This window comes from Homo sapiens, chromosome 18 (assembly GCF_000001405.40).
Source record: "Homo sapiens chromosome 18, GRCh38.p14 Primary Assembly".
NCBI classification, from domain to species: domain Eukaryota; kingdom Metazoa; phylum Chordata; class Mammalia; order Primates; family Hominidae; genus Homo; species Homo sapiens.
This window is the reverse complement of record NC_000018.10, coordinates 76,190,987-76,208,621: the sequence shown is the minus strand read 5'-3', so window position 1 is coordinate 76,208,621 and position 17,635 is coordinate 76,190,987. Positions and strand designations below refer to the sequence as shown.

At 37.3% G+C, this 17,635-nt stretch overlaps 1 long non-coding RNA gene across 1 annotated transcript; it reads left to right on the top strand.

Moving 5' to 3' along the window:
• Window positions 1-1,181: 1,181 nt before the first annotated feature.
• On the top strand, window positions 1,182-16,759 carry LOC105372206 (uncharacterized). Its single transcript, XR_935643.3, has 3 exons — window positions 1,182-1,657; window positions 4,245-4,391; window positions 11,056-16,759. It is a non-coding gene; the product is annotated as an uncharacterized LOC105372206 (long non-coding RNA).
• Window positions 16,760-17,635: the final 876 nt, after the last annotated feature.

Genomic DNA, 17,635 nt, shown 5'->3' with positions numbered 1-17,635 from the left:
ATTTTCACATTGTGCACTAAATTTGAAACATAGCAAACCATAGAATATTGGCGCTGGAAGTTCGCCATAATTTTACTTCCCTTCTGAGTTTGTCACTCTCCTGCATGGGAGGACACGGGAGGTTATCTGACTTAAGCGGCTAGCTAGTAACAGGTTAGTAGGAAAGCTAGGTGGAGCCGGCTTCTTCTAAATGCTTCCTCCTGAGTTTCTTTTGGAAAATAAGCTTGAAGTACCCCCTTTCCCAGTCCCAATCAGTCATCCTTTCTGTAGCTTCTATGTTATAAGTGACTGGCTTCTATTTCTAGACATACAACATTTCCGGGCAGTGAGTTCAGCACAGTAATAATTAGCCGATTTGTGTACCTTGGAAGAAAGAAGAATGTTGTGATTTCATTATTTCTTCAGACATCTTCAAACTTTTTATATCATCTTGATACGGTCTTGACTTGGAAATCTATCTAAAATTGTTAAGGTGTATTGTAGCTTTCCATCTGGGGAGTAACAGTGAATGTGACACTTGATTTTCATAGGTAAGAAGGTGGCCTGGATATCCATCAGGAAAACCTCACAGTCTTTGTGTAGCCTGGCAGATTACAAGATAAATACTCAAAAATGGATCCATGGGCTAAAAACTATTTAATGAGAAGGGATTAAACCATGCTATGACATTATGAATGGACCTTACTTCTCTCCATATGTAAGAGAAAGATGAAATTAATGGCAAATTATAGTAGGCTTAAGATAATGATATTATACCATCGATCTCTCTCTTTGAACTGGTGTATGCGTGGAGAGTTATACATTACATGGTAAATTTGAGTGCTGTGCAATTTTCCAAATCATATCCCTTTGGAGATGAGTATGACTCAAAAATGAGCATCGTGAAGTTCAAGTTGTTTAACTCTGACTTGTGATTGGATCTTGTGATCTTGCCTTATAGATATTTTGTACATTCTGAGATAGTTCTGACTCCAAGTAATTTAAAAATTTTCCAGTAAAACGATTCACTAACAGTATAATGAAATGATGAATATTTATATCAATTAGTTCATAAATCAGAAAAGTCCATTGTTAGACTTAGTATTCCAAAATTTGGTTCGGAAATGGTCAGGATAATTCTGTAACAAATTGACAAACTGTATTATGATCCTTAGCGACGCTGTCAAGATTTCTTTTATGTCTGAAAGTCATTTGTGATTGAGACTCCCAATGAGATCAAAGGGGTTCTCATGTGCACCGATTTCAGGAAGCATTTAACAAGTATTTATTGAGTGGCTCCTGTGTCCTAGTCATGGTTTATCCATATGTACATTTTGGTACGTGAAAAATCTACCTGATAAAAGCAATCAAAGACAGATGTCAGCTAAATCGAGGTGCTTAAATTTCTTTGTGTTCCAGCTAATGGGCAGTGTGATGTGGTGGAAACTGTCCCGGTAGGAAAAACCTAGCTGTGGGCCTTGTGCACATCCCTTCCTTCATCTACAATCTCAGGGCATTGGCCTGATAATCTGGAAAATCTCTGCCCATATTCTATAATTCTACTGCAGTCCAGAATGCATAATTCTGCCACACGTCAAAAGACTACAAGAAAGAATTTGTAATTAATGGACAACTGTGGGATATTTGTTTCCCTTCTGCATTAGAAATATAATCAAAGGTATGAAAATTCAAATTTGTAGTGAACGTAGGGAATGAGAGTGATACTAACAGAGTCTATAATCTATTTGTGTTTAGGCTGGAAGCTGACTTTTTTTCATTTCTGGGACAAGCCACTTAATCACATTTGAGTTAAAAGCACTGACTATCCAAGAGAGGACACATTCGGAACAATGCAAGCGCAGGCTATCTTTCCTGACGGCATGGCCTTGCTTGTTCAGACTGATCCTTGATGCATAGGCTCAGAGGAGAAACCTCAAGATAGGAGAGAATGAATCTGTCAGATTCATTTTTCTTCTTTTTCTTGAGGGTGAATTTATTTTTCATGTTTTGAAAGGAGTGTGTGACCACGTTGCAACAAAGTCCTTTTTCCCCTGGAATCATATTTCCATTTTCATTTCTAACAAAGCACATATTTGAGTCTTGATATCTCATTGGTTCATCTCTCTCTGTCCTAACAATCCCTTTGCATTTCAAACGTTACGCCAAAGAAAGAAACGTGAATGCAGCTCATAATGATGATGGATTACAACATGCGGAATCATGGCCAGCGAGTTGGCCAAATTACCCGCACCTGCCATGGTGCTGACTTTGGTCTGAATTATGGAGAACATGAATTTTGGAATCTTTTCTGCTGCTAGGACAATGAATAAGCTTTGTTAGTAGACTAGAAACATTGTAGGAAACTGATTGTGTAGAATCAAAAATACAGCAAAATGGGGGTTTGGCTAGATGTTGGCTGACATCCAAGAGCTCAGAAGTCCTTACAAACACAGAAGGGGGGTCAGAAAGTCTGCCGCCCATCCCTGGGCTGGCTCATCCTGAGGGCTCGGGAGTCCACTCTGCTGCCTGCACGCCGGGCCCTGGAGTCTGCCTGCACGCCAGGCTTCTGGAGTCTGCTGGAGAGAACGACCCAGCCCTGCTGGGTGGCACAGCATTTTTGCTCAACTTTCAGGGATACCTGGCAACATTTAAAAAATCTCCTTGGATTACAATATCTTCATTACTCACCCTGAAACTTTAACACCTTGCCAATCTATTGAAGCATTGCCACGTTGCCCAGATCAGTCTTTCTACAAATGACTGATCACACAGAGGAAACGTTGACGCCTGGAAGCGTATGCCCCTCAACAATCCTCAAGTTCACGTCCACTCTCACCTCTTACTCTCTCTTTTCAGCGAAGTGTCTCCCTTTCATTTGTGCATGAATCCATTTTCTTCCCATCTTTTTGCAGATCTTTTTCCATTCATAATACCATCCCCTTTTACTTTTCTTTCTGTTTTCAGTTTCTCATCCTCTATTGGCTCCTTCCTCCCGGCATTTCAGTTTCCTCAATGTTTTCTCATCCCATGAAAACCCCCACAACCCTGTTAGCCCCATGATCTTTGTCCTCTTTCTCTCCTGTCCTTGACAGTGAACTGTCACTCCTCAACTCGCCTTCTACCTCCACCAACCAAACCTGCCAAGGCAATGCTTTCCTCACAAGCAAACACCCAGTCTTCTCTACCTATGGGGCGCATCTGAAGGGCCACACATGCTTGACTTCCTCCAGCTTTCCCTGAGCTCTGCACTCTGCTCCCTTCCTGCCTTGTCTTCTCATGTTTCTTCTCAGGCATTTAGACCATTCCCCTCATCCCTGTCCTTGATATGTTGCTGTTCTAGATGGTATTACCCCTTCTTTTCCTCCCTCCCTCCCTCCCTTCCGCCCTTCTCGGAAGACTTCTCCTTTTTCCTGCTCCCTCCCTGCCCCCTCTTTCTTTTGTTTCTATTTTTTGAGTGTTATTAAGTTTCCGACTCTGATGACACCTAAATATTCATCTCTGGCTCTGAGCGCTTTTCTGAAACTCAGATTTCTATAGCCCAGTTGTCCATAGGACAGTCCCACCTTCTTCCTTGCTTGACACACGGATTTAACAAAGATGTGCCGAATGTGCACTGTGTCCGCACTGGGATAGGCCCTGGAAAACAATGTTGCAAAATACACAGTCCCTGACCCCAAGGATTTCCTATTTGGCAGCTGGGTTTGGGCAAGGAAGCGAGAAATTACACAGTCTCCTATGGCCATGATGGCGATGGTGACAGGATGTTATAGGAAGAGAAGTATATACAATCCAGGTTAGATTGGAGTGGGAGGGCTAGTCAGGTGAGACTATCCAAAGAGGGTGATATCTGAGCTGAGACTGGAAGGTTAAGCCATAGTGTTTGCAAAATCCAGGAAATTCAAGAACTGCTGCAAACTGTCTGGCACAGTGGCAAGACAGACTTGAGGGAAGGTGGTGCTGGGAGTGAACATGAAATATGGCAGTGGAGCTTTACAAGGGCCAGGGCAGGGGTTATGATATTAGTTAGGGCTCTCTGGTCACCAGCACCAGCAACTGCTTCTTACTAACTTAGCTAAAATCATATTTGCTGGAAGTATATGGGGAAGCTCACAGGATTAAAGGGAAGACTAAAGAAAAGGAAAGATAAAAACCAGGAAGCTCCAGAGGGTCTTGTAGCAGGAATTGCCCAATGGCCCCCGGGGCTTCTGGGTGGAGTGAATGAGTTGATGCCCATTAGGTTTTCATTTCTTGCATTTGTTCCATAGATTCTACATTTTAGGAGAGAGAGAGTCTGGCTGGCAAAGTTTGCCTCAGCCAAGTGCCTGCCCCTTTGATGTATCCACGCAGTGAGGGTCGGAATCTGGCCACTGGAGCCTGGAGGAGACGCCTGAGCTTCCACAGCAAAAGAGCAGGTGCCTGGATTAACGTCCTACCCCAAATGCACACAATGCAGGGAGGGATTCCCTAAAAGGAGATTAGGGTGTTCAAGAAAGGGGAATAGATACAGGGGGGCTCACATATTTCAAAAATGTTTCCTATTAGTACTTTCTTTATAGGCTGACCTAAGAATTTTCCATTTTTTCCTAAAGCCAATGGAGATAACAGTTCAATTTACATTTTAGAAAGATCACTCTAGTTGTTATTGGGATAATGGATTGAAAGGGGCTGATTCTGAAGATCAGGAGAATAGCCAGGAATCTTTGAAGTACCCTACATGACGGGTGATGGTGTGAACTGAGGGAGTGCATGTGATTGAACAGACACGGGCATGGGCAGATTAAAGAAGCATTGGGGAGGAGAATTAAGGACAGGGTGATTGATCAGAAGGGGTTATGGGAGGCGAGGGAGTGGGGTGAAATACTTGTGGTGCACCACCCCTTCCACTGTGGCTATGCTGACTCATGGAGTCTGTGGGACACATCAGTGATAGAGAAATGTGGGTTCAAAACACTGTCCTACAGTTGCCAGCTGAATGCACAGTCCCCACCCAACGTGTTCAGGCTGTTCTTTCTTGGTTAGTGGCACCTGCAGACACCCATTTCTGGGGCCGTGAAACTCGGGCTCCATCCTCAATTCTCTCTCCTTTTTATTCCCCGTGTCCAAATCAATTAAGACCTAACGATATTATCTTCTTTCTATTACTTGAACCGTCTCTAATTCTCTAATCCTACTGGCAATTTCTTAATTTTCTCTTTATTTCTTCCCTTTTGCAATATCTTCTTAACAAATTAAACTATTTATTTTACAAAAGCAGTAGATGCACATGCAGCTCTGCGAAATAACATAGCGATCCTTTTTACTCATCATGCAATTTTTCCAATGGTAAAATCTTGCAAAACCATAGGACAATATCACAGCAAGGATATTGATATTCACACAATCCACAGACCTTAATCTGATTTCTCAGTTTCACTTGTACTCATTTTTGGGTGATGTGTGTGCGTGTTTAGTTCTATGCAATTTTGCCACATGTGTAGGTTCGTATATCTATCACCACAGACTGACTACAGAACAGTTCCATCAGCACAAGACTCCCTCATGTCACCCTTTTCTAAACAAACCTTCTTCACTGCAGCCCCTCTCCCCTGGCATCCCTAACTCCTGCCAATTACTAATCTTCCCTCTATTTCTATAATTTTGTCATTTCAAGAATGCTATATAAATGAAATCACGCTGTTTATAACCTCTTGGGTGGGCTTTTCACTCTCAACAAAATTTCCTGAAGATTCATCTAAGTTGTTGCATGTATCAATAATTCATTCCTTTCTCATGACTGAGTAGTATTTCATGGTATGGATGCACTGCAGTTTGCAGAACCATTCACTCACTGAAGGACATCTGAGTTAGGAATATTCCTGTAGAGGTTTGTGCGTGAATAAATTTTTATTTCTCAGGGACAAATGTCAAAGAGTATAATTGCCGGGCAACATAGTAATTGTATGTTTAGTGTTGTCGGAAACTGCCAAACTGTTTTTCAGAGGGTCTGTACATTTTACATTTCCACCAGCAATGTATAAATGATCAGGGTTTTTTTTTTGTGTCCTTGGTGTTTTCACTCTTTTATCTTTTAGCCATTCTGATAGGGTGCAGAGATTGCTCATGGTGGTTTCAATTTGCATTTCCCTAATGGCTCCTGTGGCTGAAAATCTTTTCATGTGCTTATCTGCCATCTGCATATCCTCTGGGGTGAAATGTCTGTTCATGACTTTTGCCCATTTTCAGTTTACATTGTTTTTCCTTACTTTTGAGTTTTGAGATGCTATATATACTAGACATTTAAAAGATATGTGGTTTGCAAATATTTACTCTAAGCCTGTACGTTATTTTCTTTATTCACTTAACAAGATCTTTCACAGAGCAAAAATTTTAAAATTTTGATTTGTCAATATTTCCTTTTATGAATTGTCAATATTTCCTCTTATGAATTGTACTTTTGGTGTTAAGTCAAATAACTTTTTGCCTAGCCTTAGATCCTGAAAATTTCTGCCTATTTTTTTCTAAAAGAGTTATAGTTTTATGTTTTACTTTTGAGTCTATGATCTGTTGGAGGTGGTTTAGTTATTGTATGAAGTTTACATTGAGGCTTATTCATTTTTTTGCCTATGGTGGTCCAGTTGTTTTAACACAATTTGTTAAAAAGGCCATACTTTTTTCAATGAATTACTTTTGCACCTTTGTCAAAAATCATTGGGTATGTTTGTGTGCATTTGAGTTCTTTGCTTTTTCATTGATCTGTTTATCCCTCTGCCAAATCTGTGCTGCCTTGATTACTGTAGCTGTAGAGGAAGCTTAATATTGGGAAAACTTACCAAAAAAACTGGGAAGAGCAATTACTCCTACATTATTTTTTTTTCCAAGATTATTTTAGCTATTCTACAACCTGTACTTTTTCATGTAAATTTTAGAATAGACTTGTCTATGTCTACACAAAACCTTGCTGGGATTTTGATAGAAATTGCATTAAAGCTATAGATCAAACTGAGGAGAGCTGACATCTTATTATGTTGATTCTTGTAGAACACGAGGGCTCCATTTGCTTAGGTCTTCTTCTATTTCTTTCATGTGTATTTAAAAATTTTTAGTATGTGGAGCCTACATGTGTTTTCTTAAGGTTATACTTAAATATATCATTTTCTTTGGCTTAATTGCAAATGATACTAGGTTTTTAATTCTGATTTTCATATGCTTATTGTTAATATTTCAAAATATGATTGATTTTGTTTTTGGTATTGAAATTGTACCTTGTAGACTTGATGAACTCAGCTTTCAGTTCTAGGTGTTTTCTTGTATATTCTTTGAAATTACCTATGTAGAAAATAATGTAATCTGTAAATAGGGCTAGTTTTCTTCATTCTTTTCAATTGATGTGCTTTTTATGTATTTTTTTCATGCCTTATTGCAGTTATCAGAATTGCCAATTCTGTGTTGAATTAGAGTGGTGAGAGTGGACATCCTTGCCTTGTTCTTGATCTCAGGAGAATGTTATTGAGCTTTTTATCATTAAATATGATGTTAGATGTAAGTCTGAGAGTATTAAAAAAATTATGAATGGAATTTTATATGATCAGAAAATGCCGAGGCAGGCAGATCACAAGGTCAGGAGATTGAGACCATCCTGGCTAACATGGTGAAACCCCATCTCTACTAAAAATACAAAATATTAGCCGGGCGTGGTGGTGGGCGCCTGTAGTCCCAGCTACTTGAGAGGCTGAAGCAGGAGAATAGCGTGAACCTGGGAGGTGGAGCTTGCAGTGAGCTGAGATCATGCCACTGCACTCCAGCCTGGGCAACACAGCGAGACTCTGTCTCAAAAGAAAAAAAAAAAAGCAAAGCAAAGCAAAGCAAAGAAAATGCACTCCATGATTTCAATTCGTTACGTTTTATTTTATGGTCTAGCATATTAGGATATATATATTTTCTTTCATTTTCTTGGTAACTGTTCCATGGATGCTTGAAAACAAAACAAAAGAAAACAAAACAAAGCATACAGATACCATGTATTATTCTGCTGTTGTTGGCTGGAGTCTTCTATATGTGTCCTGCTGGTTGATTGTATCACTTAGATTTATATCCACGCTGATTTTCTGTCTAGTAGTTCTATCATTTGCATAGAATGTGGTGTTGAAGTCCGCAACTAAATTGTGGATTTGTCTATTTTTCCTTTCAGTTATATCAGGTTCTGCTTCATATATTTTGAGGCTCTGTTGTTTGGTGCATACACATTTAGGATTATTATATCTTTTTGGTAGATTTATCCTTTTATCATTTTGTAAATTCCCTCTTTGTCTCTAGTAATTTTCTCTTCTCTGAAGTTTACTTTATCTGACATTAATATAATGATTCCTACTTTTCCTGGATAAATGTTTGCATGATTTATCTTTTTCTATCCTTTTAATCTATGCATTTGAATTGTAAATGAATTTCTTTTAAGTAACATATATTTGGGTCCTATGTTTTTTATCCACTGTGTCAATCTCTGCCTTTTGCTTGTTACATTTAGAACATTTACATTTAGAGTAATTATTGATATAATAAAATTTAGATCTACCATTTTGTATTTTATATTCTGTTTGTTTCCTTTTTTGTCCATCAGTCCTATTTTCTTGCCTTCCTGTGCATTACTTAAATACCTTATAGAATTCAATCTTGATTTATTTATAGTATCTTTGAGTATATCTCTTTGTATAGTTTTCTTGATATTGCTCTGAATGTTAGAATATATATGTGTGACATCACAGTCTACTGGTATTAACATTTTACTACTTTGTATGAGATGAGGAAACTTTATTTTTATTTATGTCTCTTTACCTTCTCCACATTTAAATATCATTTTTTGAGTGTCAGATTGTGTTATAATCTTTGTTTAACCCATCACATATTATTTAGAAAACTCATGAGAAAAAGGATAGTCTGTTACATGCTCCCATACTTTTGCTTTTTACATTGTTCTTTCTGTCTGATACCTCAAAATTCCTTCTTTTTAACATTTTCTTTCTGTTTGAAAGATTAACTTTATTCGTGTCTGAAGACAGTATCTGACAGTCAGAATTTCCTTCCCCCTTTTTCTTTATTATTATTATTATTATTATTATTATTATTGAGATGGGATTTCACTGTGTTCCCCAGGCTGGCTGTGAACTCCTAGGCTCAAGTGATCTTCCTGTATCTGTCTCCCAGGTAGCTATGAGAATGTTTATACTTCCCCTTGAAGGATAGCTTTACATGTTGACATTTCTCTTTTAGCCTTGAAAAGTGTTATGCCACTTCCCTTTGGCCTCCATGATTTCACTGGGAAATCTGTTGTAATTTGAACTCCTGTTCTCTTCCTTAGTCCTTCTTTTTGTTTCTTATAACAGAATTCCTGAAACTGGGTAAGTTATAAAGGAAAAAAAGTATTTCTTATAGTTGCAGAGGCTGAGAAGTCCAAGGCTGAGGGGCCAAATTTGGTGAGGGCCTTCTTGCTGCCGGGGAGTCTCTTCAGATTCCCAAGGCAGCAGGAGGCATCGCGTGGCGAGGGGGCTGAGTGTGCTCAGTTCTCCTTCTTATAAAGCCGCCTCCATCCCCACTCTCATAACAACACATTAATCCACTAAAATGCTAATTTATTAATCCATCATTGGATTAATCCATTCATGAGGGCAGAGTCTTCATTACCCAATCACCTCTTAAAAGCCCCACCTCTCAATACTGCTGCATTGGAGATGAAGTTTAAACATCAGTTTGGAAGAACTAGCATTCACAACCACAATGCTCACCTATAGGCCACGTGACATTTCTTTCTGATTAATTTTATGTGTTTTGCTTTGTCCGTAGTATTCAGCAATTTAATTATAATGTGACTGGGCATGGATTTATTTGGGGTCATCTTATGGGGGTTTTATTCAGTTTCTTGAATCTGTAGGTTTAGAGTATTCACCAAATCCAGGAAGTTTTTATCCATTATTTCCTTGGATGTTCTTTCAGATCCACAGGTTTTCTCTTCCTCTTCTGAGAGGATGTGATAAAAATGTTGGGTATTTTGTTATTGGCCCTAAGTCCCTGAATTTCTGTTCATTTTTTTTTTTTTACTCTATCTTCTCTCTGTTGGTCAGCCTGGGTAAGTTTATTAAAAATTATTGATCAATCTTGTTCACTGATTCTATCTTCTGTCTTCACTCTACTATGTAAAAAATTTTATTGTTGTGCTTTTCAGTTCTATTTTCCCTCTGGTTCTTTTTTATGACTTCTTCTTTGCTGAGGTTGTTCTTAAGAGATATTGTAATTGCTATTGAAATTTTTTTTATGATGGATGTTTCATCTTGATTCATCTTGGTGTTAGCATCAACAGATTGACTTTTCACATTCAACATATAGTTTTTTTTTCTTGGTGTGATAAGCAGGTGATTTTTTATTATATCCTGGACATTTTGACTATTATGTTAGGAGTCTCTGAGTCCCTTTAAAATATTTTATTTTTTAATGCAGTCACTTTATTTAGGCTTGGCATGTATGGCCTAGCCTACTTTTTAAGCTCTGGTTCCAGTGAGAACTTAATTTTCATAGCCTCTGTGGTGCCATTTTGGTCTGTGTGGTTTATCTTGTATTTCTGGGGCTCAGATTAGTTCCCGCTAGTGCTTCCTGAGGCGGAAGAAGGGGCGTCCTCAGGCTGGCCCACCTGGTGCCTCTAAGTAGGTAAAGAGAGTCTCTGGCTGATTGTCATGGGGAAACCCCCTTCACTTATGCTTTCTCTTGTCTCTGGGTGGGGAAAGGGAGTTTCAGATGTAACAGTAAATAAGAGTGTCCTTCCTAAAATAGTGAGAGAAGGAAATAAATAAAAGCAATTTGGTCATGATGTAGACAGTGGGTCAGAAATGAGGAAAATGAATGTGATTTGAGAGGCAAGGAAAGAGGGAACTGGGTGAACTGTCAGTGCTTTATTAACAGGGATTGTCAACACTGATGGAATAGTAGACAGTGGGTAGTCAGGTATTAAAAGATCAATTCAGTATTAACATATTAAGCTGAAGGATCTTTAGAATATTTTTTTTCCCTGAATTTCTTGTAGTTAAGAATTCTAAATGGTTACCTCACATTTAGGTGGACATAAGCCATGACAGTAATGAGGGAGTGCAGAAATAGCACCAGGAAGACAAAGGCTCTGGATTCAAGGCTGCGATTGGTGAACCAAAGCAGAAGAAGCATCAACTATACAACAACACAAATCATCAGGAACAAATAATTTGATTCATTGTGGCAGACTTACTAAATTAAGGAAGTGAATCATATTGGAATACAGAAAAATTCAAAGCATTCAGATGCACTGAAAGTTAAATGTAATTTTCATAGAATTAAATATGTGGTAGATTATTTTTAACAATGCCAGAATTATGTTTTGTCTTTTACATAAGCTTTATTAAAACAACCCCATATGCAAATCATTAACATGAAATCGATGGAGCTATTCAGGTCTCTTTTAGGTATGACTTCCTAGGACTCAGCTTGCAGCCAAAATTTCCAGAAACATTTCATTTTAGTGACTGCTACCCATTATAACACTGGTAATTAATTCTTTTGGAGTTACTTCAGATTAAGTTAAATCACATAAAATTCAGCTCTTGAAGAAGAATAATGACATTCTCAAAAATATACTAATAAATATTGCCTCTAAATAAGATGACCTAATATCTCAAAGATACTGTTAATATTAATATTGACAAAGGGGGAAAATGTACTAGTATATAATAACAGCTTTAAAAACCTTTATATATATATTGTTCCCATAATATTACTTATAAGAGTTTATCTTAAGGCAAGATTTGGAGATTGTCTTAGAAAATATTACTGGTAATTTATTTGCTAAACTGGAGATTTTGTTCATAAATGTTTGTAGAAAAGGTCTTGAATTCAATAGAGAAGTTCCATCCCTTATTTTTATATTTGAGTCTCAAGATCTTATGGAATATCAAAGGACAGAAGAGCATATCATCAAATTACACGGTAGGATAAGCAAGCACTTGCTATAGAAGGGATTGTGTAGGGAAGCTCTCCTCCCTCAATTTGGGGAGTATTTCTGTCTATCTCTCATTATCTCCTTTTTCTTTTTTTTCTTTCTATATTCCTTTACTCATTTCTTTCATCTTTTTTCCTTCTTTCTAAATGATTTCAAAACCTAGGGAGAATAAAAAATTTATAATACTTTTTGATTTTGATAAGGATGCAGATAGGAACTACTGGTCACAAATTAATTAGGTTATATTTAAGGACTGTAAACAGAACACTGTACACATTTCTACACTTCCAGGGATTTGAATTAAGGAGTATTTGATTCTTGGTAGAGCACTGTCTTAAACATGAAAACTTCCTTAAGCTCACTAGGCTGAATGTTTTGGGAAATAAATATGTGTCTACTCAGTCACAGACCTGAAAAAATGCACTAGCTATTGTAACTTTTGTGGGATTAGAAGAGTCTCATAGATTTGCCAAGTTATCTGCTTTAAGACACAATTATTGTCCAGAGGTTGAGTTCTCAAAGCTTTGACATTGGCACATGGAAATTTCCCTCTGAAAAAGATAGCAATGAGTTTACTCTGGAGTGGGTGGGTGGATAAAGAAGTTGGGTTGAATCCATTGGCTAAAGGATCTCTCTCTCTTCTTTTTTTCTCCTCTTTCTCTCCATTTCGTCTTCCTTTTCTCTCCCACTCTCATTTTCCCCCTACAAGTAGGTTTTAGAATTCATTCAGTTGTCTCAAACTATTTTTAAGTAAAAAGCTGCAGCATAGGAATTCAACTCAAAAGAGCTTGGAAATTTTGGGTGAAGGCAGGAAATCCTGCTTGAGCCTTGGCCTCTGCTTATGGCAAAGTTCCAGGAAGAAATAGGATGCTTGTAAGAGTGTTCAGCCCAGAATACTTGGATTTTGTAACCTTGACTGTGATCTTGGTGGCCATAGGAAATTTTAAGTTAAACTCTTTGAGGAAAGACAGTGGGAAATTATTGTCCTTACAATACTGAAAGTACAGGTAAAAAAAAAAAAATCTGTCTACAGTTACAGAATCTCTTGTGACTTTAATTCTGGCAATTTTAAAGAAATGTTGGAATTGACCCACCAAGAAGCACTTTGTGTTCAGATAGCACTAATAGAGATGTGGCTTACTTCTTTCTTCTTTTTTCACTTGAACCTGGGGATTCAGGAAACATCATGTTGATCTACAGTGTTTTATAAGTTTATCTTGTAGTACCTAAAGTGTTACCTCTTTTGAAACACTTCCCTAAAGTGATGCTACTGATGTCATCCCCTGATGACAACAATAATAATATAGTCATTATGGAAACTTTGAAACATACAGAAATAGGTTAGATAAATAAAAATGATAAACAAAAGTCACTCATAACTCCAGGTTGTTAAATAAAAAGTGAGATTTCAGCATATTTTCCCTCTTTGATGTTTAGTAAGGCTTATTTTTTCATGAGTTTACTATATGTTTATTTGCATATCTGTGAAATAATTGTCTGTTAACTTACATTTTTCTGTTGTATTTTGTATTCAAAGTTTTCTCATTGTTTTGTAATGACTCTTTAAATATTAGGAATATTCTTTTGTGGAGAGAGACATCAGTAAGACAGCAGAACAGAAAGTTCTCTGTTAATATCCCCCAACAGAAACAGTGATTTGGCAGCTACCCAAATGGACAAAAATGTCTTTGTGTGAGCTTTGAGATCCAGACTGGAGGTTTTGAAATCGCTATGGAGTCCACAACCAAGGAGGGCTGTTTTGAGAAGGCAGTTCTGCACCCATGTGGCAAATTCACTGTCCATGGTCCAATATGCAGACTTTGAAACATCATATTTCCCTGTGGACTCAGCTAGAGCCCCATTTGACCTTGGTCTTCCACCGGGATCATTCACCAAGGGACCCAGGAGGAGTCACACTTACCTGTGCCTCTGGTAATAAGCCCACTGATCTCATTCCCAGTTATAAACTCTGAAGTGGTTCATGAATCAGCTCTAGGCCTTTCAGCCACGGTCTTGGAGGAGTCCTGTCCACAAATAACCTGGCAGAAGACACACTTGTCTGTGCCCCTAGAGACAGGCTGTCTGACTGTGGATTCTGAAACAGCCCTTTAGTTTGGCTCCATTCCCCATTTGCCACAGTCTTGGAGCAGTCCTGCTAACAGAGGGACCAACCAGCCAAGACTTGCATGTCCATGCCCATGGAGGCAGGCCCAGCAACTTTGGACTGAGTTTAGATCCTAAAATGGCCTTGTGACACAGTTCCAGTCCCTCTTAGTCACAGCCTGGGGCCAGTGCTACTCATCCAGTGGCCCACCTAGTGACCTGGTTTGAATCATCCCACGGATAAGCAGGATCCACACTCATCCGCACACTTAGTAGCAGGCCTGCTGTCTGTGGACCCAACTGTAGGTCTGAAAATAGATCCTTGTCCCAGTGCCAGATCTACTGATCAAAGTCCTGGAAGCAGTCCAGTCCATTCAGGGACCAGAGAGAATCCAGTAACAGGCATGCCAACTACAAAATAAAATGTAGACCCAGGAACAGCCACAAGACCTAGCTCCAACCCCACTTGACTGCAATTTCAGAGGCAATTCCATCAGCCTGGGGATCTAACAGGAGAGGGTCTTTACCTGGCAAAAATAGTCTGTGAAGACAAGAACAGTGTTTGTTTCTTCAAATGCAAAGACATAGGTGCAAGAATACATGGATCATAAACAGTCAGGCCAACATGACACCATAAAGTAAACTAATAAAGCTCCAGTAATCAACCCTAAAGAAATAGAAATCTATAAATTGCCTGACAAAAAATTCAAAACAATCAACTAATGAAGTTCAATGATATGTAACAGAATACAGGCAGACAAATAAATGAAATCAGAAAAACAATGCATGAATAAACTGAGAAGTTTAATAAAGAAATATAAACAATAAGAAAGACCTAAAGAGAAATTCTGGAGCTGAAATATACAATGAAAAATCTGAAAAGTGCAATATAGAGTTTTAACTGCAGATTTGATCATGCAGAAGAAAGAATCAGTGAACTTAAAGACAGATCATCTGAAATTGGCCAGCTAGAGGGACAAAAAGAAAAAAGAATGAAAGAGAATAAATAAAACATATGAGATCTATGGAACACCATCAAATAAGCAAAAAATATCCATTATAGGAGTTGCTGAATGGGAAAGGAGAAAGAAAGGAGCAGAAAACTTATTTAAACAAATAATGGCTGAAAACTTCCCAAATATTGGGAGGTATATGAATACCCAGATTTATGAAGCTCCCAGGACCCCAAACAAGATCAATGCAGAGAAGATGGCCCTGGAACACACTATAATCAAATTGTCAAAAGTGAAAGACAAAGAGAATTTTGAAAGCAGCAAGAAAAGAGCTAGTTGTTACATACGAGGCAGTGGCCATAAGTCTGTCAGTGGATTTCTCTGCAGGCCAGGAAGGTGTAAGATAATACATTCAAAGTTACAAAATTAATAGAACAACTGGCAGCCAAGAATACTACACCCATAAAGCTGTCCTTTAGAAATGAAGAAGAGCTAAGGAGATATTTAGACAAACAAAAGCTGAAGTTCATCACTTCTAGATGTGTCTTACAAGAAATGCCAAAGAAAGTGCTTCAAGTAGAAACAAAAGGACACTAATGAAAATATGAAAACATAGGACAGTATAAAACTCACTGGTAAAGGTAAATATATAGCCAAATTTAGAATACTGTAATACTGTCATAGTAGTATGTAAATTTTAACTTTAGTATAACAGTTAAAACACAAATATTTAAGAAGCTATAGCCACAATAACTTGTTAATGAATATACAATATAAAAAGATATAAAGAGTAACATAAATAGCACAAATGTGGTGGGAGAGAGAGAAAAACTACAGTTTTTGTATGTGATTTAAATTAAGTTGTTATTAGCTTAAAATATACTGTTACAACTCTAAGATGTTTTATGTAAGCCTAATGGTAACCACAAAGCAAAATATTTAGTAGATACACAAAAGATAAAGAGAAAGGAATCAACTCATTCCGCTACAAAAAATCAACCTGTCATAAAATAAGATAGAGAGAAAGAAAGAAACACAGGAACTACAAAACAGTGAAAAAACAAGCAATAAAATGGCAATAGTAAGTCCTCACTTCTCAATAATTACTGTAAATGTAAATTGGTTAAACTATCCAATCAAAAAACACAGAGTAGCTGAATGGAAAAAGAATCCAACAACAGCTTGCCTACAGGGTGCTGACTCTGATTTTAAAAACACATAATGGCTGAAAATGAAGAGATGAAAAAATATATTTCATACAAATGGGAAACAAAAGAGAGCATAGATGATTATACTTTATCAAACAAAGTAGACTTTAAGTCAAAAATCTGTTACAAGATAAAAAGAAGGTCACTGTATAATGATAAAGGGGTCAATTTTTCGAAAGAATGTAACAATTGTAAATATATATGCACTCAACGTGGAAGCATCTAAAGAAAAAGCAAAATTAGGAAAATTGATGAGAAAATAGATAGTAATGCAATAATAATAAGGGACTTCAATACCTACCCACTTTTAGCAATGGAGAGATTATCAAGACAGAAAATCAATAAGGAAATTGAAGAATTGAATAATATTATAGTCCAAAAGGACATAACAGAATACACAGAACATTCCATCCAACAGCAGCAGAATATGCATTATTTTCAGGTACACACATAATATCCTCAGAATAGATCATGTGTTGGGTGACAAAAATGTCTTAACAAATTTAAAATATTAAAATCATGTCAAGTATCTTTTCAGACAACAATGTTATGAAACTAGAAATCAATAACAGAAGGAGACTAAAAATTCACAGCTATATGGAAATTAAGCAATATGCTGCTGAATAATCGGAAGAAATGAAAAGGTAAGTAAAAAGTATCTTGAGATAAACAAAAGTGGAAAGACAACATACCAAAACTTACAAGATACAACCAAAGCTTTTCTAAGAAGGAAGTTTAAAGTGATAAATGCCAACATTAATAACAAATGAAGATCTCATATAAACAATTTTACACCTCAAGAAACTAGAAAAAGAATAAACTAAGCCCAATGTCAGCAGAGTGACGGCAATTATAAAGATGAAAGTAGAAAGAAATGAAATAGAGACTAGAAAGACAATAGAAAGCACGAATGAAACTCAAACTTGGTTTTTTGAAAAGATAAATAAAAATTGACAAGGCTTTAGCTAGATTAACTATGAAAAAACAGAGAAAACTCAAATAAATAAAATTATAAATGAAATAAGAGGCACTGCCACTGATACCACAGAAATACAAAGGACCAAAACAGATTACTATGAACAATTATATGCCAACAGAGGGGATAACGTAGAAGAAATGAATAAATTCCCAGAAATACACAATCTATCAAGACTCAATCATGAAGAAATAGAAAACCTGAACAGGCCAATAATGAATAAGGGGATTGAATTAAAGAAATGACCTCCCAACAAAGAGAAGTACAGGACAAGATGGATTCATGGGTGAACTCTCAGGCATTAATTCCAATCCTCCTCAAACTGTTCAAAAAATTGAAGAGGAAGGAAAGCTCTCAAACTCACTTTATGAGGCCAACATTAGCCTCATACCAAAAACAGATAGAGACATTACACTACAAGAATAGA